This window comes from Homo sapiens, chromosome 10 (genome assembly GCF_000001405.40).
Source record: "Homo sapiens chromosome 10, GRCh38.p14 Primary Assembly".
Lineage (NCBI taxonomy): Eukaryota > Metazoa > Chordata > Mammalia > Primates > Hominidae > Homo > Homo sapiens.
In genome coordinates this window covers 71793177-71814920 of record NC_000010.11, presented here as the reverse complement: position 1 = coordinate 71814920, position 21744 = coordinate 71793177, and the positions used below count along the sequence as shown (strand labels likewise).

The following is a 21744-nucleotide window of genomic DNA, read 5'->3' as shown; positions in this document are numbered from 1 at the left end:
GGCCATGCCCAAGGGGTGAGCAGGTGGATGGCCCCAGAGACCCACTGGCTATGTGGCTGAACCTTGGGCTCCTACCGCAGCAGGCCTGTCAGACTCTGTTTCTCAAACTGCCTGCAAAGGGGAATCATGAATGCTTAAGTTGCTGCAGATGGGTTCTTGGGAGGATTGGCTTCTTGTGAAAATCTGTGTGTGTGTGTGTGTGTGTGTATCGGCTTCTTGTGAAAATTGTGTGTGTGTGTATCGGCTTCTTGTGAAAATTGTGTGTGTGTGTGTGTATGTGTGTGTAGACAGAGTCTCGCAGTGGCGCGATTTTGGCTCACTGCAATCTCCACCTCCTGACTTCAAGTGATTCTCCGGCCTCAGCCTCCCACGTAGGTGGGATTACAGGCACGCCATGTTGGCCAGGCTGGTCTGGAACTCCTGACCTCAGATGATCCACCAGCCTCAGCCTCCCAAAGTGCTGGGATTACAAGTGTGAGCCACCGCACCTGCCCTTTATTTATTTAGAGACAGGGTTTCTCTCTGTTGCCCAGGCTGGAATGCAGCAACGTAATCAAAGCTCAGTGCAGCCTCGGACTCCTGGGCTCAAGTGATCCTCCCATTTCAGTTTCCTGAGTAGCTGGGACTATGGGCGTGTGCCACCACATCTGGCTGAGAATCTTTAATTTTATGTATTAACTTTGGTGCTCTATAAACATCCTGGGATGCAACTGTGGTATCTGGGTTTGTTGCCAAATTGGCCTCAAGCAGATCACCTCTAATTGTGTCCAGGCAGAAAGTGTCAATAGGACAAGCTGCAGAGGATAAATAGGTGGGGTGGAGACTTGAAACTGGCACTGTTGTCCTCCTGTATGAGGCTATTCGACTAGCTTATTCCTGTTGAGAATATGGGCCCAGCTGGAGATTCGTTTTTAGGTAAAGCCTGACTTTTGTAAGTGTTGACATAATCATTACAGGCAAACATATGTAGGCCTATTTGACCCTGACGGCCAGTTTCTTTTCTTTCCTTTTTTTTTGAGACAAGTCTCACTCTGTCACCCAATGGAGTGCAGTGGCATGGTCTTGGTTCACTTCAACCTCCGCCTCCTGGGTTCCAGCAATTCTCCTGCCTCAGCCCCCTGAGTAGCTGGGATTATAGGCGTCCGCCACCAGGCCCGGCTAATTTTTTGTATTTTTAGTACAGATGGGGTTTCGCCACGTTGGCCAGACTGGTCTCGAACTCCTGGCCTCAATTGATCCTCCCACCTCAGCCTCCCAAAGTGCTGGGATTACAGGTGTGAACCACCGCACCCAGCCGGGTTTCTTAAAGTGACATCACCCCCAAAGGTATGTTCTTGAGGTCTTCCTCTAATCAGAGAAAGACTGCCTTAGAGACTACCCCATTCCTGTGAAAGCCCCCAAAAGCCCAGAAAGCAGATCCTGCTGTCTGACTTCCTGGCCCCCACCCATTGCTGTCTTTGGTCCTGGCTGCAGAGCTCCAGAGACATAGAGAAGGACAGCAGGACAGCAAGAGACAGAGAGCATCCCCAGGCTGGGGCACAGCACACAGCTCCCAGCCACCCAGCCGGCTACCTCAGAGATGGAGGAGTGGCAGGAGGAGGCTTTTTGCACCATCCGCTGTGCAAAGAGCTTTTTGAGCCGCAGGTAATCCTCCAGGACCACCTTCAGCAGCGAGCCCTGGGGGAGGGAAAGGGTTAACCCCCACCAAGGCCCTCCCCTGCCTGCCCCGCCCCTCGCCCACTCCCTCTGGGAGTAAGGGGTACACGGACATCTGATCCTGGTGATCCTAGGGCAGAGGATCAGCGGCAGAGCCTGGAGACAGTGGCCAGCCTGGACACAGGTGGACTCACTCCTGAGCCCTGCCCTTAAGGCCACCGCAGGCTGGAGTAGCCCCCCATCAGCCCTGGTGTTCTCGCCCCAGTGGAGGGTGGGTCTAGCTGAGCCTGGAGGTCTCTACCACCCTGTGTTCTCTGGAGTGGGGTCCAACCTCAGCCAAGGGACTGGGCGCGGAGCCTGCAGGGAAGGCTCACCTTGATTGGCCCCTCACGAATGATCTGGCCCAGCTTGGCAATGTTGTCATACTCCTGGATGGCAGCCCGCAGGTATCGGTCATCATCAGGCTTGACAGCTGCTGGCTCACGCCCAAAAGTTCCCTGGGGAGAGGGGATGTTAGCTGGAGCAGAGGCAGACCCCACACACATGTACAAGGGAGGGGGCCACCCCTTAAAGAACCCAGCTTCTTGGCCAGAGGTTGCAAAGACCCAGCCCCTCCACCCCTGCCCCTTGTGATGCCTGACCGCCTCTGGCTCACATGGGTGCGCGTGGGGCTGTTCCACAGGTCGGCGATCTCACTCAGGTTCTCCGGTAGGTCATCCTCATGCTCCGCCTGGGCGGCCAGCTCCAGGTTCCGACAGAAGGGATCCAGCCACACAGGGTTGGCTCTGCAGTTGGGGAGGGAAAAGGGTGGGGAGGGAGGGAAGGCTCGAGTAGACAGGTGCCCTTCCAGCCTCACCCCACATCCTGCCCATTTCCCTGGCCATATAGTGCCTTTCACTGACTTGGGGTGTGAGGCCCTGGTGCCTGTGGTGCATGCTCCCACCATAGGATCCTGCTGGAACCAGGACCGCATGTCAGTCTGGATTGCCTTTGGTGCAGAGGCTTCACCCTGCACCCACTGCCCAAAGTCTGCATCCCCTGGAACTTGAGGCCCACTGGGGTGGAGAGCCCCTGTCAGCCACGTGGTTTCTGAGGGTGGAGGGAGGGTGAAGGGAGGGTGGCCCGCCCACCAGGGGGCGCCCACAGCCTGGGTTTCGGCAGCCCCAGCGCTGGGAGACTGCAGCTCTCCCCAGCTGGGTCCTGGCAGGACTCCCCGCAGGGGACCGGGCAGGGCCAGTACCCCACTCACCCATCAAAGGAGTACTTGTTGGTGTTAGGCATGTCCATGATGTCGATGAAGCCACGATTCCCTGCAGGGAGAAGGGTTGGGGCATGGAGGGGAGGGGCATAGCCAGGGGTAGGGGTGGTGTTGGGGGGTGAGGGAGGATGGGGTGCGGGGCATGGTCCTGGGCCCAGTGAAGGGCCTGAGCCAGGCTTGTGGCTCCGGTGGGCACTCCAGGTCCCCAGCCCACTGCCTTCTCACCTGTGTCCCCACTATGGCCCTCACTTACCAGCTGAGCCAGCCACAATGGCCTTGAGCTTCCTCTTGTGTCTGGAGAGAAGCAGAGAGGGGCTGGTGAGGGGGGCCAAGCTGACGTCTCAGGCCCTGCCTGCCTCGTGGCCATCCGGGAGCAGGTGGTCGGCCCCCTGATGGCAGGGGTGGGGGACACTCACACAGTCCTGTAGTACCAGTTCATGAGGACAAAGAGCATGGCGGCCAGGAACAGGAGGATAGCCAGGACGATGATCGCCATCTGCGGGAGCAGGACCAGGGTAAGCCCGGGCAGTGGGGAGGGCGGCTAGGGCTGTGGGGCACGGTCGCCGGGTACCTGCAGGGCAGACATGTCATCCGGCAGCCGGACAGAGATGGCAGGCTGCACGTCCAGGACGTTGTAGTTCCGGAAAAGATTCCGTAGCTGCTCCTTGTTCTCATCGATCATCTGGATCACCCTGGGCGAGGGGCAGGGGTCTCAGCTCTCCTCCTCAGCCATTCCCCCACCACCGACAGTCTGCTCTGCTCCTGCCTCAAGCCTCCAAAGTTCAACAACCCCAAGCCTTGCAAGATTGAGGTCCACCGGCTGGGACAGCTTTGTGTTTTACAAGGTTCCTCGAACCTTCATGTAGGATCCTGTTCCATCCTTACAGTGGATGGAATACTCCCTTTTTTTTTTTTTTTTTTTTTTGAGATGGAGTCTTGCTCTGTTGCCCAGGCTGGAGTGCAGTGTGGCATGATCTCAGCCCACTGCAAACTCCACCTGCCAGGTTCAAGCGATTCTCCTGCCTCAGCCTCCTGAGTAGCTGGGATTACAGGTGTGTGCCACCATGCCAACTAATATTTGTATTTTTAGTAGAGACGAGGTTTCTCCATGTTGGTCAGGCTGGTCTTGAGCTCCTGACCTCAGGTGATCCACCTGGCTTGGCCTCCCAAAGTGCTGGGATTACAGGTGTGAGCCACTGCGCATGGCCTGAATACTCCCATGTTACAGATGGGGAGAGGGAGGCTCAGAGGGACAGAGTTGCTCATACCCCCAAACTCTGCTCTCTCTCCTAGCCCTGCCCCAGTCTGGGAGATGGCCCCACACAGTGGGCCTGATGGTGTGGTCTGTGTCTCCTTTGGTGTGTCCCCTCCCCTACTCCAGGGCAGGGAGGCAGGCAGACAGACAGGCTGACAGTCCAAACACAGGCCCCGACTCACCGGTCCACGTCCAGGATGCGGTTGGTATCGCGGTTCACCACGTGGATAAGCAGTTCTGTCTGCGCAAAGTTCACCCGGCCCTTCTTGTCCACATGGAACTAGATGAGAAGGGGTATTGTAGGGTGTGGCCACCACAGCAGGGGGCCACAGGGATGGGCAGGCCTCTTTTAGGAACCCCTTCTGCCCTTCCCTGCAAATAGACCCTTCACTACTGAATGTTTGAATGTTTGCTGAGGACCAGGCACGGTGCCAATCACTTCATCCACACTTGGCCAGGTACTATTTATTATTGGCCCCATTTTATGGAAGAGGAAACTGAGGCCCAGAGACCTGGGAGAACTTTATCAAAGCTGCACTGATAGGAAATGACTAAGTAGGGACTATACTGCCTTTCACGCCCTGGCCTTTGCACAATGCCCTGTCTCTCCTTGTGGCCTGGCCTCCCCTTCCTTCTCCCTCCACTGCCCCGGCCCCGGGTGGGCCCATGAGGCACCTGCACATTGTCAGTATTGACAATGGCCCCAGTGATGTTGGAGAGCAGGTGGATGAACTCCTCCTCGAAGCCGCGCACACGGTCGGGGATCTCGTTAATGACGATCTTGACGCGCTGGTCGTCCCTCAGGATGTAGATGCCGATGATGGCCGTGTCGTTGTGGCCTGCCAGGTCTCGGGCCACAATGTCCACCACGAAGTAGCCGGGGCTGTAGGCCATGAAGAGGTCGAAGGTGCGCAGAATGCCGTCCATGCTCCCTGCAGGAAGCCCAAAGGCGGGGTACGGCTCAGAGACTCAGTGCCCCGAATCCCCAGGAAGGGGCATGAGCCCTGGGGTAGGTGGGCACATCTAGGGGAGGCGGCACAAATGCCCACAGGGCACAGCAGGGAGCAAAGGTGACAGGCAAGTGGGAACGATGCCCATCTGAAGTGGAAATGGCTCGGGTCTCAGCCGGTTATCATCACAGGGGAGTGCGGATGACAAGTTTGTGACTCTGTTGTCCCATGCTAGGGTGCGAAGGACCATTTCTGAGCCCCCTGAGTGTCTGTCTGTTTCTCCTCTCTCTTTCAAACACATGTACCTCAGAATTCCACAAATAAGCCCGGGTGTGGTGGCTCACGCCTGAATCTCAACACTTTGGGAGGCTGAGGCGGGCAGATCACTTGAGGCCAGGAGTTTGAGACTAGCCTGGCCAACATGATGAAACCCCATCTGTACTAAAAATACAAAATCTAGCCAGGCATGGTGGTGCATGCACCTAATCCCAGCTACTTGGCAGGCTGAGGCAGGAGAATCACTTGAATCCAGGAGGCAGAGGCTGCAGTGAGCTGAGATTGCACCACTGCATTCCAGCCTGGGCAACAAACAGAGTGAGAGTCTATCACCAAAAAAAAAAAAAAAAAAAAAAAAGGAAAAAGAAAACAACAAAACCCATAGAAGAGAGATGGTCAGGTGGTACAGCATAGTCTTCTCTTAAAAGACAATAGATTGGGCTCAAAATTTGTCACTTTCTAGCTGCGTGACCTCAAGCAAGCTACTGAGCCTCTATGTGCCTTGATTTATTAAAATAAGAGCAGTGAGAGCTCAGAGGACAAAGGGATGGTGTCTGCTTGTGTAACTGGATGAGGTGGCACATGAACTAGACCTTGAAGGGTGGCGGAGGGATATCCGAAGGCAAAGAAGGGGTCAAAATGGCATTCCAGGCAATGAAGGCAGAGGGGTCAAAGGCCAGGGGAGAATGGGAGAGAGCAGGCCGTGGGGATGCTAAGCAGCTTAGCTAGGCTGGGCACAGGGCCCTTAAGGATAGCAGGTGACTGTGGAACAGAAAGAGGGATTAGGAGGAAGATCTAGTGAGCCTTGAATGCCAGGCCACAGACGAGGCATACAGAGGAGGAGCCTTTAGATGGAGAAGAAGGGGGAAGGGGTTGGGGCTGGGAGTAAGGTAATGGGACACCCACAGGGGCATCTTCTAGAGCCTGACCCAGAGGGTCTCAGCCATCCACACAGGTCAGTGCACAAGCAAACATGCACATCCATAGATATAAGTGTGAGCTTTGAATCCTGGTGCCCCAGTCCTAACACAATGCCTGACATAGGGGAAGGCGATGTGCGCAACTGAAAAAACAGGCAGATATTATGGGAGGGAGAGTGGGAAGATGGGTAGGTGGACAGATGAATGAAAGCAGGATGGATGGACAGATGGAAGAAAGGATGGATGGAAGAGACAGATGGACGGATGGAAGGATAAAATGAGGGATGGACAGATGGATGGAAGGATAGATGGACAGCCAGAAGTGTGGATACATGGATGGACGGATAACTAATGGATAGATGAGTTGAAAAGAAGAGAGAATGAAAAGAAAGGGCTGGTGGGTAGATGAAGAGGTGGATAGGTGGATACACTGGAGAACGGATTGCTGAATAGGTGGATGAATAGGATTGGTGTGGCTGGCTGGGGGGCCACCCATATCCTGTGGTGCTCCCACAGACCCCATCTCCCCCCAGATGACAGTCCATGCAGTGACTGAGAGGTCATGGCTAGAGGCCACTCATGTGCTGCCAGGCCCTACCCATGGTGAAGACCTGGCCCACATCTTCAGAGTCGTTGGCAAGGGCCCGGAAGTAGTGGATGGCCAGAATGCTGTAGAAGACAAGGCTGTTGTTGCCAATGTCTGCATCCAGGGCCAGCACCTGGATCAACTCTGAGCCCACCTTGGCGTCGGTGGCCACCCCTGCAGGAAGAGGCAGGTGGTGTAAGTGGCAGGGCAGGGGCCACCCCACACCTCGTGCCCAGGCTCCAGTCCCTGCACCTGCAGTGTACTCAGCCTTGGTGAAGCGTGGTGGCTGGTCGTTGATGTCCTCTAGCACAACGCGCACCTCCTGCAGTGTGAGGTCAGCAACCAGGTCGAGGGTTGGGGAGGGTCCACGGGGAGGTGTCCAGCTGCGATTGCTGGAGGCCTTGACGATGAAGGAGAAGATGGCTTCTCGCTCCCGGTCCAGGTCCCGCAGCACCAGCAGACACCCATCGGGCTGCAGATGGAAGTTCTTCTCTTCGTTGCCGGCTGAGGGTGGGATCATGGCACAGGGTGAGGGGGCAGGGCCAGGAGCAGGGCATATGTGGGTCATCTCTAGCCCCAGGGTAATCAGGGCACTAGCTCTGTCTGGCCCCACCTGCGATGAAGTAGTACACGATCGCGTTGGGGCCCTCATCTGCATCCACTGCGCCTGTCACGTTGCCCACGAGGGTGCCGCGTGGTGAGTGCTCAGGCACTGTCAGCAGCTGGTACTGGGGGCTGCCTTTCTGCAGAGGGAGGGGGATGTCATCACATGGGGCCAAGGGAAGACCCGAGCTTCCAGTCCCTGTTTCAGGGCCCTGGGCAGTGACTTTGTAGGTGCTGAGGGAGTTTACTGTCCAGGCCTTATGGGGTGAGTAGAACCGTTGTAACCTCAAGGGAGCAAAGCATGGCCCGCGGACCTGAGCTCTGCCCTCACGGAGTGTTGCCCAGAACCCAAATGAGTGCTTAAGTGAGAGAAGCACACACGTTACTCTTATATGCACATGCATGTGTATGCACTCACACTCAGCAGTCGCCAAGGAACATCACATCCCATGTGCACACAAGAAGAAAAAACAACCATGTCAGAGTTGGAGTCCACAGGAGGGGCCCTCAGCCTTGCTGTCAGATTTCATGTCAGCCCTATATCAATAAATCAGAGCTGGGCGGGGCGTAGTGGCTTATGCCTGTAGTCTCAGCATTTTGGGAGGCCAAGGCAGGAGTTTGAGACCAGCCTGGCCAACATGGCAAAAACCCGTCTCTACTAGAAATACAAAAATTAGCTGGGCATGGTGGCGGGTGCCTGTAATCCCAGCTACTTGGGAGGCTGAGGCAGAAGAATCACTTGAACCCGGGTGGAGGTTGCAGTGAGTCAAGGTCATGCCACTGCACTCCAGCCTCGGCAACGGAGCGAGACTCTGTCTCAAAAAAAAAAAAAAAAAATCAGAGCTGATTTTCATGCTTTGTGTGTGTGTATGTGTGTGTGCAGGCAAAGACAGGGCTATCAGCTCCATGAGTCAGGCATTTTGGTCTGCCTTTTTTTTTTTCAGCGCTCAATATAGCTCAATATAGTGTAACACAGCTGCTCAATAAATAGTTGTTCTTGCATGAAGTGCATGCAGACATGTTTCCGTGTCTAGCCAAATGTGTATTCTGGCACAGTGTATATAGGAGAGTGTGTGCTTGCAGGCAGGTGAGTCCCTGTGTGGGTGTGACCAGCGCAGGAGGTGGGCAAGCTCACTGGAGGCCTCACGAAAAGGGGTTCGTTGTCATCGATGTCCTCCAGGGCCACCTGCAGCGGCTGCATAGTCTCGTATGGCACTGGCTGGCCCAGGTCGCTGGCCACCAAGATGAGCTAGGAGCGGAAGAGCACAGTCAGAGGAAAAGACTGGGAGAGGGGATTGGCTTGGGGACTTCCCGGTGGCCAGTTCCCCTAGGGACTTTCCAGGAGGCGAGGTGCAAGACCCGCCCCCAGAAGAAAGCCCCGCCCCAGACCCCGCCCCTCGCACCGGGCCCCGCCCTTACGCTGTACACCGCCTGCGACTCGCGGTCCAGGCGCTGAGCAGTCTGGATGAGGCCGCTGATTGGGTCGATGATGAAGAACTCCCAGTCCCGGTTGCCCGCAGTCTTCAGGAAGCTGTAGCGCACCGCCCCGTTGAGGCCCTCATCCTTGTCCGTGGCGTAGACCTCGTACACGTTGGAGCGCAGCGGGATCTCCTGTGGGGAGCATGGGGAGGAAGGCTCCTGGACCCCTGAAAGAATCTCAGCTCCTAGGTCCTGAGGGAGCCCTTGCTCTTTCTCCTGCCGTAGCAGAATGTCCTCAACAGCTTACAGCACCCGCCAGGAGCGCCTGCCTGCTCGGCTGGATTCTCCTGGATTCTGGGCTTCTGCTAGCTGTTGTCCCTCTTCTCTCCTCCCCAACCCAAGCTAAGGCCATTGCACTGACAGTCCAGCCTGAGAACCACATGCTTCAAGCCTTCCCAGGGTGACCATCTTCCCAGGAGCTGCCTCCGCCCTTCCAGTCCCATTCATTGCATGCTGAGGTTTTGGGGACAGAGGGGATCTAAGTGCTGAGGCCACAGCCACCCTTCGTCCTGTATCAGTCTTGCTCTCTCTGCTACCCCAAACACAGGAATTCTGGGTGTCCCCAAACAACACCATCCATCCAATGGGGTACCTGAAAATGGGGGGGACACAGGCAGGGTGACATGGTGGATAGGATAGGGGTTGGCCATCAGGGTCTAGTCTGTTACTAACCTGCCTGGAACCTGGACTTGCCACCTCACTTCCCTGAGCCTCAGTCTCCTGAACGCTGTTGAGCTAAGTCCAAGATCTCGAAACCTCATTGAAATCATACATTGACCCATGACAAGGCTGCCCAGGGAAAAAGAAAGGGCACGTTTCTTTGCTTTTAGTTGAAAAATGATCAGCTCAGCATGGTTTCATTGTTTATCTCATGGATCATGACAACTGAAAGTTCTAAATGGCAGTTACGTCTAATTAATAACAAGTAGGACGACATATAGATAATTAATACATGCTGATTGTTCAGGAGACATAAATCTTTCCAAATGCAAAGCCCTTGAAGGGAAAGTGTTCATAAATGGGGCTTTTGGTGTGAAAAAGGACTAGATTATTATTAATTTGTACCCTGCCTCATTCCACAAAAGAGATTTAATGCAGGGGACAAGAATACATAAATTATAACAAGATTGATCAAGTTAAAAAACTAGAGTAAAGAAAAAAATTGGTCAGGAAGATGAAAGCTGAGGGGTGGGAAGCAAGGTGTAAGCCCTGTCCCTGCAGGGTCACTCGAGATATCCTGATCACTCTGAAAGAGCAAAGCAGAGCAAAGAGGACCGACTGCTCAATCACTGCCGATGAGACACTAGACACAAGGTAAAAAAGCAAAGCACCTGGTAAAGGCACAACGCTTCTTTGAGCTTAGCCTTGGGAGAGTTTTCTCCCGCAGGACCTCAAAGAGGAGACAGAGTGACATGATGGACTTAGCATGGACATTCTGAGATGTGGAGCCTGGGTGGAGTTTGGGGGACAAAGAACAAGTGGGAGACATTCTGATGGTGCCACTACGGAGCACTTTGGGCCTGTGTGCTTAGAAGAAAGGGGGAGAGCAGAAGACAAAGGAATACTTCCCCTATCTTTATATGGCAATTTAGACCGAGAAGTGGAAGACCTGGAGAGATTCCAGAACCTTGCCACTTCCCCTCATTTCTTATTTTGATGCTCAGCCTCAGCTCCTAGGCTGTCTCCACACTGTATCAGCAGGAACAACAGACAGATGGAAGGGGCGTGTGTGTTTATTCTGAGACAAGTATGGGGGAAGTGGGTTGTAGAGGAGTCTGTCCTTTTTGGTAGACATCTAGGAGCAAGAGATGGAGTATTTACTTATTAGTCCTGTTTTGCAGAGGAAAAAATAGACGTACAGAAAACAGACTTACAGAAGTCACTTGCTCAAAGTCGTTGGGCTGATAAGCGATAGAGTTAGACTTCAACTAAAGATTTTTTTTTTTTTTTTTTTTGACAAAGTCTCACTCTGTTGCCCGGGCTGGAGTGTAGTGGTGTGATCTTGGCTCACTGCAACCTCCGTCTCCCGGGTTCAAGCGATTATCCTGCGTCAGCCTCCCGAGTAGCTGGGATTACAGGCATGCACCACCATGCCCAGCCTTTTTTTTTTTTTTTTTTTTTTGCATTTTTAGTAGAGATCGGGTTTCACTATGTTGGCCAGGCTGGTCTCGAACTCCTGACCTCAAATGTTCCACCTGCCTTGGCCTCCCAAAGTGCTGGGATTATAGGTGTGAGCCACTGCACCTGGCCAAACCAAAGATCTTTTACTAGCACAGCCCATATAGTAACCACTGTTCAATACTGCCCTGTGTGGCACTGGGCAGGTCTGCTTCCTTCTCCGGCCTCAGTTTTCCCACCTTTACAAACTTTTATTTAATTAAAAAAGTTTTTTTTTTCCTGGAGCTACTTTCCTGAAGCCAAGTTTCCCCACCTTTAGAGTGGGGTGCTTCCACTCTTCTAGGCCACAGCTGGAAGAAGGAAATACTGGTGGGCAGGAGGCCCTCGGGGCAGGAGTACCTCTCTGATGTGGAGGATGGTGCCGTTGGGTGGGCGCACAAAGACAGGGCGGTTGTCATTGACGTCGATGACCTCCACCAGGAGCATGGTGGTGCCCCAGAGTGGGGGCTCTCCACCATCTGTGGCCACCACGGTCAGACTGAACTTCTCGTAGGACTGCAGTGGCCGCTGTGTGGTCACCAAGCCCGAGTCCATGTCCACATGGAAGGCCTCTGGCAGTGGGAGCAGGAGAGTAGCTCTGGTTGAGACATCCTTCCCACGCTTCCCTCTACTCCTGGCCTGGGCTGGCAGGCCTCCCCCTCCCACCCCCCAAGACATCATGGGTGTCCAAGGAAGGCCACATACCCACGCCAGGGCCCTCAAGTGAGTAGGTCAACTCTCCATTGGGACCTTCATCCTGGTCAGTGGCCATCATGGTGATGACCGAGGTGCCCGCCGGCTCATTCTCATACACGCTTGTGCTGAACTGGGGCTTGGAGAACTGTGGCCGGCAGTCATTGACATCCAGCACTTGGATCACCACCTGGGTGGATGGAGGTCAAGGCCAAAGGTAAGGAGCAGGATGGGGCAGCCTCAGCGGACCTGGTCATGCAGGAGTAAGCCTGGATAGAGGAAGGACAGGCACCAGCCTGGGAGGGAGGTAATGTCTTCTAATGTGTTGGAGTCTGACTTGAAGCAACTTATTTAACCCCCTGAGCCTCAGTTACCTTGGTTGCACAATCCTAGATCCTTGGCACAGTGCGTGGCTCAAGTAAACACTCAACAACTAGAACAGTGGTTAACAGGTAATCTGCACCTGGGCCCTGAAGCAGAAACCCCTTATCCCCTCACACCTCCTACTTTATTCCTTGCTGCTCCCCACAGGGCCCTATAAATCTGGCTCTAATCTCTATCCCTTAGTGCTGGATTGGTGGCATTCCTCCATTCCCCAAGGTTCTCTTGACTGCGATTTGTGTCTGGCCGGAGACTTGGCTTCCCTGGCTGACCCCCCAGCCCAGGGCAGGTCTTACAGACACAGCAAACCATGGGACCTTTGTTCCCTGGCTGCTGGGAGCTGCCTGAACTGCATCCTCTTCAGAGCCCTTGACAGCAGTGACTTCATTTTATTTTCTTCGATGGAGTTTCGCTCTTGTTGCCCAGGCTGGAGTGCAATGGCGCAATCTCGGCTCACTGCAACCTCCACCTCCTGGGTTCAAATGATTCTCCTGCCTCAGCCTCCCAAGTAGCTGGGATTACAGGCAAACACCACCATGCCTGGCTAATTTTTGTATTTCTAGTAGAGATGGGTTTTCACCATGTTGGCCAGGCTGGTCTTGAACTCCTAACCTCAGGTGATCCCCCCGCCTCGGCCTCCCAAAGTGCTGGGATTACAGGCATGAGCCACCATGCTCCGGCCAGCAGCCGTGACTTTAAAGATCCCCTTTCAGTGCACAGAGCACTTTCAAACCACCTCATGTCCCCAATTGCACATCTGCACCCTCCTTTGCAGATTTGACAATGGAGGCTCAGAGAGGTTGACTGACAAAGGCAGTGTGCTCAGCTCATGGAACTTGAGTCTTCTGGCCCCAAATGCTGTGTTTTTCCCAACACAGCACATGCATGTGTGACAGGGATGAGGTTTGGATATGTGCATGTGTTCCCAGCCCTTTCTCTCTACCTGCCAAAGAGAAGTGGTCTTGGCCCATTCAGCTGTTCACACCCCCGACCTTTCAAGAGAGTTTCCTTTGGATGATGAGATTATTGTGAGGGAGAAGTGAGTACTGCATACAGAAAGATAGGCCTGCCAAAGACAGAAGGGAGGAGAGAGAAAGAGGAAGCAAAACCTTGAGGCCTGGGACTTTGCATAGAAAAGGGGATTGAGAGCTGAGAGGGTGAGATGCTGGCCTCAGAACAGCTGCGTGGACACTGGAATGAGAATGGGGTTATGACTTGGAGCCCTCATTAGTATTCTTTAAGAGACATAAATAGGCCGGGCTCGGTGGCTCACATCTATAATCCCAGCACTTTGGGAGGCCGAGGTGGGCGAATCACCTGAGGTCGGGAGTTCGAGACCAGCCCGACCAACATGGAGAAACCCCGTCTCTACTGAAAATACAAAATTAGCCGGGTGTGGTAGCGCATGCCTGTAATCCCAGCTACTTGGGAGGCTGAGGCAGGAGAATTGCTTGAACCTGGGAGGTGGAGGTTGTGGTGAGCCGGATCACGCCATTGCACTCCAGCCTGGGCAACAAGAGTGAAACTCCATCTCAAAAAAAAAAAAAAAAAAAAAAGAGAGAGAGAGACATAAATAAAGATGATTCCTTTATAATTATGTTTGGTTTCTGGACTGTGTTTCTTTCAATGGGACACTATGGTGATACTGGGCCATGTGGAGCCCCAGGCATTATTTGGGTTACACCCAGGTATGTTTAGCTGCCTATTTGCCAAAATATTTTGCCAAATAGCAGTTTGGCAAAGATTTCTCCCAGAGGGTCCCTGTCTTCCTAAGCCACAGCCATTGTAACCCATCCAGTTACCCTCTTGCCTTCTCCTTTCTGTCACTGTGTCTCAAAGGGGACCGGGGGGCTCTGCTCCCAGTCTGCAGCAGTCCACTTGCTAGAGGCTTTGCTTGTTGCCTCCACAACCCCAGTCCCTGTCATCCCTGGCCCAGGTTGGCACCCCTCACCTGCACTGAATTTTCGCGACGGTTGCTGGCTACATCCCCAGGGTTGTCTTTGGCCAAGGCAGTCAGGATATAGTGGTCCTTCTTCTCCCGGTCCAGAGAAGACAGCACATAGATGTCACCCTAGTAGGGGGAGGGTGGCTTTAGGTCCTTCAATCATTCAAAAGATATTTATTGAGCACCTACTATGGCCAGATGCTGTTATGGGCTCTGGAGATTTGACACTGAACAAAAGAGACAATAACCTCTGCCCCCAGCAAGCTCCCATTCTAGGGGCTCTTCTTGCTCTCACTACCCCAACCTACCTGGGGATGGGGTGACCAGCCCAGCCTGGAGCTACCTGCCTGACCAGGAACTAGCATATAGTAGGCACCCCATAAATATGCAGTTGTCTTAATGCCAGGCCTGGAGCCATGTCTGATGGCTCATACCAAGCAGGAAGGAGTGAACCCCGCTGAAAGGGCAGAGTGCCAGAAGATGTGGACAGAGCAGGGCAGTGGGAGGCAAAGTCCAGTTCCAGCCCCAGCAACTGGGGAAGGCCCTGCCTGACCAACCAGACCTAGGCCACAGGGCTCTCTCTCTATACTGAAAATAACAGCTTTGAACCAATTAGCAGACATTTGAAATCATCACCCATCTTTTCTCCTGAATTTCTGGTCTTCCACAAGTCTGAGATTCAAGGAAATGTGTGGGAGGCACCCTTTGGGGCATCCTCCCTTCCCCAGCACTGAGTATAGGGCCATGTATACAGTAGGTGCTCAGACACTGTGCCCACTTTCTGCAGTGCTTCCCCTGCTTCTTTTCTGACTGTCTCAAAAAGAAGCCCCATGGACTTCAATCATGCTTTTTTAGTGTGGAGAGGACACATCTCAGATGTTGTCCCACAAAGGGCTCATTCCAAAAGACTTGGCCACTTCCTTAAACATCTGTTGAGACAGAAAGGCCACAGTCTACCAAATGTCTGGGACTCTGAGAACAGGGTTTGCTGACTTGGCTAAAGAACCTCTGGGGATGCAGATGTCCAGGCGACAAGACCCAGAGGGATTACTACAATACTTTTGGTGGCTGCTCAGTCTCTGACCCTGGGTCCTTCCCACTTCCAAATTCCAGGCCCTCCATCACTGCTCACCGTGGTGGGGTTGATGGCAAACTTGCTCTCTCCATCTCCAAGGCTGTACTCAATGAGTGCAAAGTTGCCTGAGTCAGCATCAGTGGCAGTGACTGTCAGGATGATTGTGCCCACAGGCACATCCTCAAAGACAGCCTCCTGGAGCCCAGGGGGCAGGGAGAGAGAGTAGGCCAAGGTCAGTCCCAGAGCCCGAGCACAGCCCTAGAACTCACTGATGCAGGCATCAAGCTGCTCGTGGGCTGGGCACTCCCAGGGGGCTTAGAGGCTGGCAGGGTGGGAGAGGAAGATGCCCAAAGACCCCAAGGAATGGGCGCAGGTCCTGGACCCAGCCTGTGGCCTGGCCACCCACCTGGTAGGAGGGCTGGTCAAAGATGGGGTTGTTGTCATTGATGTCCACGATTTCCAGGTAGACAGGGATCTCAGCTGCCCGGGGCGGGGACCCGTTGTCTGAGGCCCTCACGGTAAAGTTGAGCCAGTGCACCTCCTCGTAGTCCACTGTCCGGTTGGCAATGACCTTCCCTAAGACACAGAGGCTCCCACTGCCATTTTGGCCACTCCTCATTCATGGCAGCTCTCCAAAGTATGAGGAGAAAGACCTGGACTCCGAGGGGCAGCTGTGGTCACTTGAAGGAGGGTGGTCAGGCAGCACCACCCAGTTGCAGGGCACACGGCAGGGAGGGACTGGTGTCCAGTTTTTCTTATGGAGGGTGAAAAAGCTTCTCCCAGTCACAGGAATGAGCATCAACTAGCCCAGGACCTGAGACACCTCCTTCTTGGCCTTCCTGCTCCCTCGGTGGTACTAATAGTAGGAGCTTGGGTGGTGGGGTATCCCAGGTTTCCGGCAGACATCAAGAGGCTTCCATCCCAACCCAGGAGTAAGCACTCTGTCCCTTCCCCTGGTTTGGGCATCTGGAATCTGGCATGGAATGCTGGCCATCTTGGATCTGGCCCAGTCCACTGAGGAGCCACAGAGGGGCTGTGGTCTCTCTTGGGGACTAAGCAAGCAGAGATATATGTCCCCCAGCCCTCCTCTGACAGATTTCTAACCTACCTGCCGAGGAGTCCTCCAGCTGGACATACCCTGGGGGCACCAGGTCCAGCAGGGTGTAGGTGACCAGCCCATTAAGGCCCTTGTCAGGGTCCACGGCTGCCACAGCAATGAGTGTGGTCCCAGGGGTGGCCCCCTCCAGGATCCGCTCCATGTAGTAGGTGATCCCAAAGGGCTTGAACTGGGGCGTATTGTCATTGACGTCCAGGACGTTGACAGTCAGCTTGGCTGTGGTGGAGGCAGGGAGTGAGGGAGAGGGGAAGGACACTAGTGTGGCTGGGCCAGGCCTTCCTTAGCCTCAGCCAAGCCGGGTGAGCATGGCAGCATCCCACAGCCCCCCAGAGGCTGCCTGAGGATTGACCTGACCCTCAGGCTGCAGCACAGGAGGCTTTCCAGTGGTGTGCTCACTTGCTGTTCCATAAGAGGAAGGGCTAGGTGACCCTGGTGGAGCCCTCGGCCCTTCCTGTGCCCCGGTTTCCTAAACTGCTCAATGAGAAAGGGCAAGATAATCTTTAAGACCCTAGATCCTGTCTGAGCTGTATGTATCCCCTCTATGTAACCGGCCTGGGCCCTTAACCATCTGAGCCTCTGACATGGAAGAGATGACCAAGTCTGCCCTTCCTTCCGGAAAATGTGGGCTTCTGGGCTGTGAAGATAAGCAGTCATCATCTGCCAGGCCTGGCTTCCCCTATAGCAGCTGTCTGTACCTCATGGCTGAGGCAACTTGAGGCCACCCCATCCCCACTTCCCCCACTCAACTCTCGCTCTGCCCACACAAAATCCACCCCTCTGGCAGCCCCCTCCCAGCCCACGCCTCAGGCTGCAGGCAGGATGGCCTGGGCCCGATTGGCAGAAGGTAACACTGGGCCCCTCCGTTCTCCACCGTAAGTGCCTGCACCCCCAAAGCAGTGTCTGTGGCCTCAGGTTACCTCCCCTCATTCTTTGCTTCCTTTGTGCTAACCCTGTGGCTTCCTATAAGATCATAGGGTTCCCATCTCACATCCTACCCACACCCTGGTTACCAGTTCTGCTGGCTGAACCTAAGCCTCTGTCTAACCATTTTTTCTCAATCTGTTCCAGGCTCTACCAAGCCTCCTTCCTACTCTCAGCCTGGGGGTTCAGATCACACACAATTCTGAGCTTCTGGATCCTCCACTGCTGAGCTCTATGTAGCCATCACCACCCTGGGCCTCACGGTGGCTGCCACCTTTCATGCCTCTTGTGTTGCCTGACTCCTGGCCCCCAGAGCAACTGGGTCTTGTTGCTCCCTCCCTGGGGACAGACCAGTGCCTGTTCCCCACCTGCCCCCTGCCCTGATTGGCTCTGAGTGACCAATGAGAGATGTCTGCAGGGAACCTTACCATTTGGCACACTGACAGAGCGCTCTGGTAGGTCGCTGGCATTGTCAATCACTGAGAGAGTGACCTCATAGGTGGCAACCAGCTCCCGATTCATGGGGGACTTCACCATTACAGATCCTGTGGACCAGACCAGGCCAGGTTCAGCCTGAGAAGAACCCCCTAAAATCTGCCCTTCCCAGGGGTGCTCCTGGCCAAACCCTCCCAATCCCCACAAAGGATGACGGTCCCCAGTAGAATCTGGGACTTGTGGCTGGGGTGGGCCCACAGCCTCCTCATAAGCTTGGGTCACGTGGCTCTGCCCCTCCCATGATGCTTACTAAGCAGGTGATGTTGGGGAAGTTATGTCACCTCTCTGCACCTCTGTGTCCACATTTGTAAAACTAGATAATTACACTACCGACTGTCAACCCATCCTTTTCTCAATACCCTACTATTTTGAGGATTAGAAAAACAAAATGAGTTTCCATTTGTAAAGTACTTAGAACAGTGCGTGGCACACAGAAGCTATGTAACTGCTTGTTTAAAAACTGCTGTATTCCTTAACAATGCAAATGTACTTAACACTACTGGACTCTACAATTAAAAAGTGGCTAAAATGGTAAATTTCGTTATGTGTATTTTATCACCATTTAAAAAATGCTTAGATTCTAGGGAGATCAAGTTTAAAGGAAAGTCATGGTAGCTGAAAAGCCCTGAGGGGTTCCCTGGAGGGGACAGTGGTGGGACCGTCTGGATACTTCAGGCCCATCCCTTTGTCTTGATTAAATAGGGAGTGACATGGGCTGATTGTGGGACAGGAGCATTGGTTCCATGGCAGTCCTAGCAAGGGGTTTCCTTCTGTTCTACCCACTGCCTCCCAGAGTCCCTGCCTGCTCCCCAAATCAGAGAGGAACCCCCCAGAAGCATGGGCGGGGACTGGACAGACCTAGTTTGGCTGACCTCAGTGCTGCGTTTCTTGGGACCTTTCTTGTTCCTGCCTGTTAGAGGGCCTGGTGGCTTCTCCTCCCATTGGCTTCATCCCAGAGTGAGACCTCCTCTCCCTCTCAGGTACAGGGGTATCTGAGATTCCCTTCCCCCTTGGCAGATCCCCCTGCTGGGCTTCTGTCTTCCGTGGGTCCCCAGCCATGGGGTAGTCACTTACCCTGGGCCGCCTCCTCCTCCTCCTCCTCCTCCTCTTCCTACTCTCGCTCCCTGTCCCCCAGGCTGGGGAGCGAGGATGGGGAGAGGGCGGCTGCATTCAGTCTGCAAAGGCTGGGCCACGGCCTTGGCCCAGGCCCCACAGGACAGGAAGGGTGGTGGGGGTGTGGTGGGCATGGAGGAAGGCAATGGGGTGAGGCAGAGAAGAGATGAGGTGGGAAGTGACAGAGAAACAGAGCTCAAACCTGTGGGCCTGCCAGCCATGAGGAAGAGAGAAGAGGGTTAACATCAGTTAGTTCAGGGTGCAGCAGGGATGGAGCAGAGCAGGGCAGGGAGGATGGTGGGGACTCAGAGCTGACGGGGTGGGAGGAGGGAGGGAGGGGTGGAAACAGGGAGTGGGGAGGGGAAGAGGCACTGGGAAGGAAACCAGGGGAGCAAGTGGAAGCCCATTTGGAGTGGAGAGCTCAGGGGCTGAGGCTCTGGCAAGAAGAAAAGGTAGCAAAGTGGGCAAGGGAGGAGTGGAGGGCTGAGGAGGAGGGGGCAGAGAAGACACTGGAAAGAAAAATAGAGAAGAGAGTCAGCTGGAGGAAGGGGGAACAGGAAAGAGAAAAGCAGTAGGGGATTGAGCAGAGCCTCAAGTTGAGTAGGGACGTGGAGCAGCTCTCCATGGTCCTGACCAACCCATGCAGCCAGGAATTTTGCTAACCTGGGATGTAGCTGGTTCTATCTAACTTCTCCTAGTGCTCATGGTTTTTCCTTCTTCTGTTTCCCTTTGGGCCTCAAATGCAGATTGAGTTTATCATGTTCTTTGGCTCGCTGCACACTATGACCACTGGCACTTCTCTTGTTTTATGTGTGCGTCTACTCCCTTTCATTCCCATACTCATCTCTCCTTCCCTTCTCCCCTCAGGCAGTCATTGTAATGTATTGAAGTATATTTTTTGTTAATAAAAGTATTTCTGAAAATCATGTATTATTTTGTATGTATTTTACATTTATGGAAATGGTGCTGTGGCATATATCTCATCCCATTTATTATCCTTTTCAGTAAATACTTATTATTAGGATCCATCTACATTGCTCTGTGTGTGTCTAATTTATTGCTTCTCACCGCTGGCACTGCTGGCTGGTACCCCCATGATGCACACCCATGATATTTTACTCTTCAGTCTCCCAGAAATGGATACCTGCATGGCCCCAACTCCACCATCACCAATAACACTGCAGTGAGCATCCTCAGACAGTTTCATTAATGCCCTGAGACTTTCTCTGGAACATATACTGGGTAATGGTGGTACAAGTGTCCCTTATGCTGGATTGCTATCCAGACAGTGGAATCAGTCACAACTCCTACAGCAGTGCATGAGGGTTTCCATGTCCCCACACGGTCACCAATATCAACATTGTCCAGCATCCTAATGTCCACTAATCACGTGTGAAAAACTGATATCTTACTGCTGTTTTAGTGCTTTGTCACAGCCATGTTGATTCTTCTATCATTCCTCTGGGCCTTCCAAGAAGTACACGTATCAGCTCCATGTCCCTTTCCTAACTCCTCAAAGGAGAAAAACACTGAACTTTTGGGAAAATGATAAAACCATCAGCATTACAATAAACTACATACATTGTGAAAGATAAGCCATGGTTCTCTTGGTTTCGTGATAGTGTAAGAAAATCATTGATCGCATGCAACTTGCAGAGGATTTAAATGGCCAGCATACATATGAAGAAAGTGTTCAGCCACCTAGTTAGTAAAGAAATGCATATTAAACAAGGTATCACGGCTGGGTGCAGTGACTCACGCCTGTAATCCCAGCACTTGGGAGGCCGAGGCAGGTGGATCACCTGAGGTCAGGATGATCAAGACCAGCCTGGCCAACATGGTGAAACCATGTCTCTACTAAAAATACAAAAATTAGCTGGGTGTGGTGGCACATGTCTGTAATCTCAGCTACTCGGGAGGCTGAGGCAGGAGAATCACTTGAACCCAGGAGGCAGGGGTTGCAGTGAGCCGAGATTGCACCATTGCACTCCAGCCTAGGTGACAAGAGTGAAATTCCATCTCAAAAAAAAAGCCAAAACAAAAACAAAAAACAAAAGAACAAACAAGGTATTACTTTCCTCTAAAATTGCCAACATGAAAATGTTATCATATTTAATACTGGCATGATGTGGTGAGATAGGTGCTCTCATACACTGGTAGGGCGAGGGAATCAGGAAGGCCAGAGGAGCTGCTCAAGGGAGGATGAGGAAGCAGAGAAAGAAAGCAAGGGGAGAGATGGAAAAGAGAAGGACGGTTCTGGTTTCCCTCCAGAGGAGGGGGAGAGAAGAGAGTAGCAAGGGAACAGCAAAGAAAGAGAAAGGAGAAAGAAGGGGGAAGCAGGGAGCGAGGAGACAGGACTGGGAGCTGGGAGGGAGGTGGGAGGGGTGCAGGCCCTTGTACCTGTGTTGATATTCACAGCAAAGGCGTCCTCCTGGTTGGGCACCAGGCGATCAGTGTCGTCCTTGGCCACAATGCCGACAATGTGGTACTCTAGCTTTGGGTTGAGGTCGTGGTCAATGGCCGTGATATTGGCAATGACAGTGCCTGGCTCAGCCGACTCCAGCACGCTCACTGTCTGGATGGGGTTGAGGAACTCGGGGCGGGAGTCATTGATGTCATCGATCAGAATGGTGACAATGGCTGTGCCCGAGAGAGGAACGGTGCCCCGGTCGGTGGCCACCACCGTTAGCCTGTAGGACTCCTGCTCCTCTCTGTCGATGGTGGCATTACCAACACGGATGACCCCGGTGACCAGATGAATGAGGAAGCGGTCCTGAGCCCCAGCTTCTATTCGGTAGACCAGCTCCCCATTGAGGCCACTGTCCTCATCTGTGGCTGTGACTTGAAGGACTGAGAATCCTGTT

General features: G+C 53.6%; 1 protein-coding gene and 1 long non-coding RNA gene across 6 annotated transcripts in view, besides 2 other annotated features; one reads left to right on the top strand and one right to left on the bottom strand.

The window, feature by feature from the left end:
- CDH23 (cadherin related 23) overlaps window positions 1-21744 on the bottom strand; it is a 419028-nt gene that overhangs the window by 1027 nt on the left and 396257 nt on the right. Inside the window, exons 48-69 of one of the 5 annotated variants that reach the window (NM_022124.6) lie at window positions 21281-21739; window positions 17701-17817; window positions 16343-16567; window positions 15641-15810; window positions 15292-15429; window positions 14166-14285; window positions 11846-12023; window positions 11501-11712; window positions 8924-9115; window positions 8640-8753; window positions 7515-7644; window positions 7154-7405; window positions 6914-7075; window positions 4845-5101; window positions 4352-4449; window positions 3486-3606; window positions 3331-3410; window positions 3168-3208; window positions 2906-2966; window positions 2312-2441; window positions 2031-2153; window positions 1573-1677 (exon numbers count right to left, since the gene is read on the bottom strand). In NM_022124.6, coding sequence (NP_071407.4) covers window positions 1573-1677; window positions 2031-2153; window positions 2312-2441; window positions 2906-2966; window positions 3168-3208; window positions 3331-3410; window positions 3486-3606; window positions 4352-4449; window positions 4845-5101; window positions 6914-7075; window positions 7154-7405; window positions 7515-7644; window positions 8640-8753; window positions 8924-9115; window positions 11501-11712; window positions 11846-12023; window positions 14166-14285; window positions 15292-15429; window positions 15641-15810; window positions 16343-16567; window positions 17701-17817; window positions 21281-21739 — 3485 coding nt within the window. Of the gene's footprint in view, window positions 1-1572; window positions 1678-2030; window positions 2154-2311; window positions 2442-2558; window positions 3039-3167; window positions 3209-3330; window positions 3411-3485; window positions 3607-4351; window positions 4450-4844; window positions 5102-6913; window positions 7076-7153; window positions 7406-7514; window positions 7645-8639; window positions 8754-8923; window positions 9116-11500; window positions 11713-11845; window positions 12024-14165; window positions 14286-15291; window positions 15430-15640; window positions 15811-16342; window positions 16568-17700; window positions 17818-18841; window positions 19151-21280; window positions 21740-21744 lie in introns of those variants that run through there. The other 4 variants (NM_001171933.1, NM_001171934.1, NM_001171935.1 and 1 more) reach the window with 4 other exon arrangements.
- On the top strand, window positions 2163-5777 carry LOC124902446 (uncharacterized). Its single transcript, XR_007062185.1, has 2 exons — window positions 2163-3429; window positions 4296-5777. It is a non-coding gene; the product is annotated as an uncharacterized LOC124902446 (long non-coding RNA).
- Window positions 3356-3858: an enhancer, noted in NCBI's record as "H3K4me1 hESC enhancer chr10:73570820-73571322 (GRCh37/hg19 assembly coordinates)". NCBI's record gives its function as "activates a minimal SCP1, AML or CMV promoter by ChIP-STARR-seq in primed H9 embryonic stem cells {active_cell/tissue: H9 hESC(primed)}" and the evidence as "EXISTENCE:reporter gene assay evidence [ECO:0000049][PMID:30033119]".
- Window positions 8795-9089: an enhancer, noted in NCBI's record as "tiled region #2121; K562 Activating DNase unmatched - State 4:PromP". NCBI's record gives its function as "activates a minimal TATA promoter and a strong SV40 promoter by Sharpr-MPRA in K562 cells {active_cell/tissue: K562}" and the evidence as "EXISTENCE:reporter gene assay evidence [ECO:0000049][PMID:27701403]".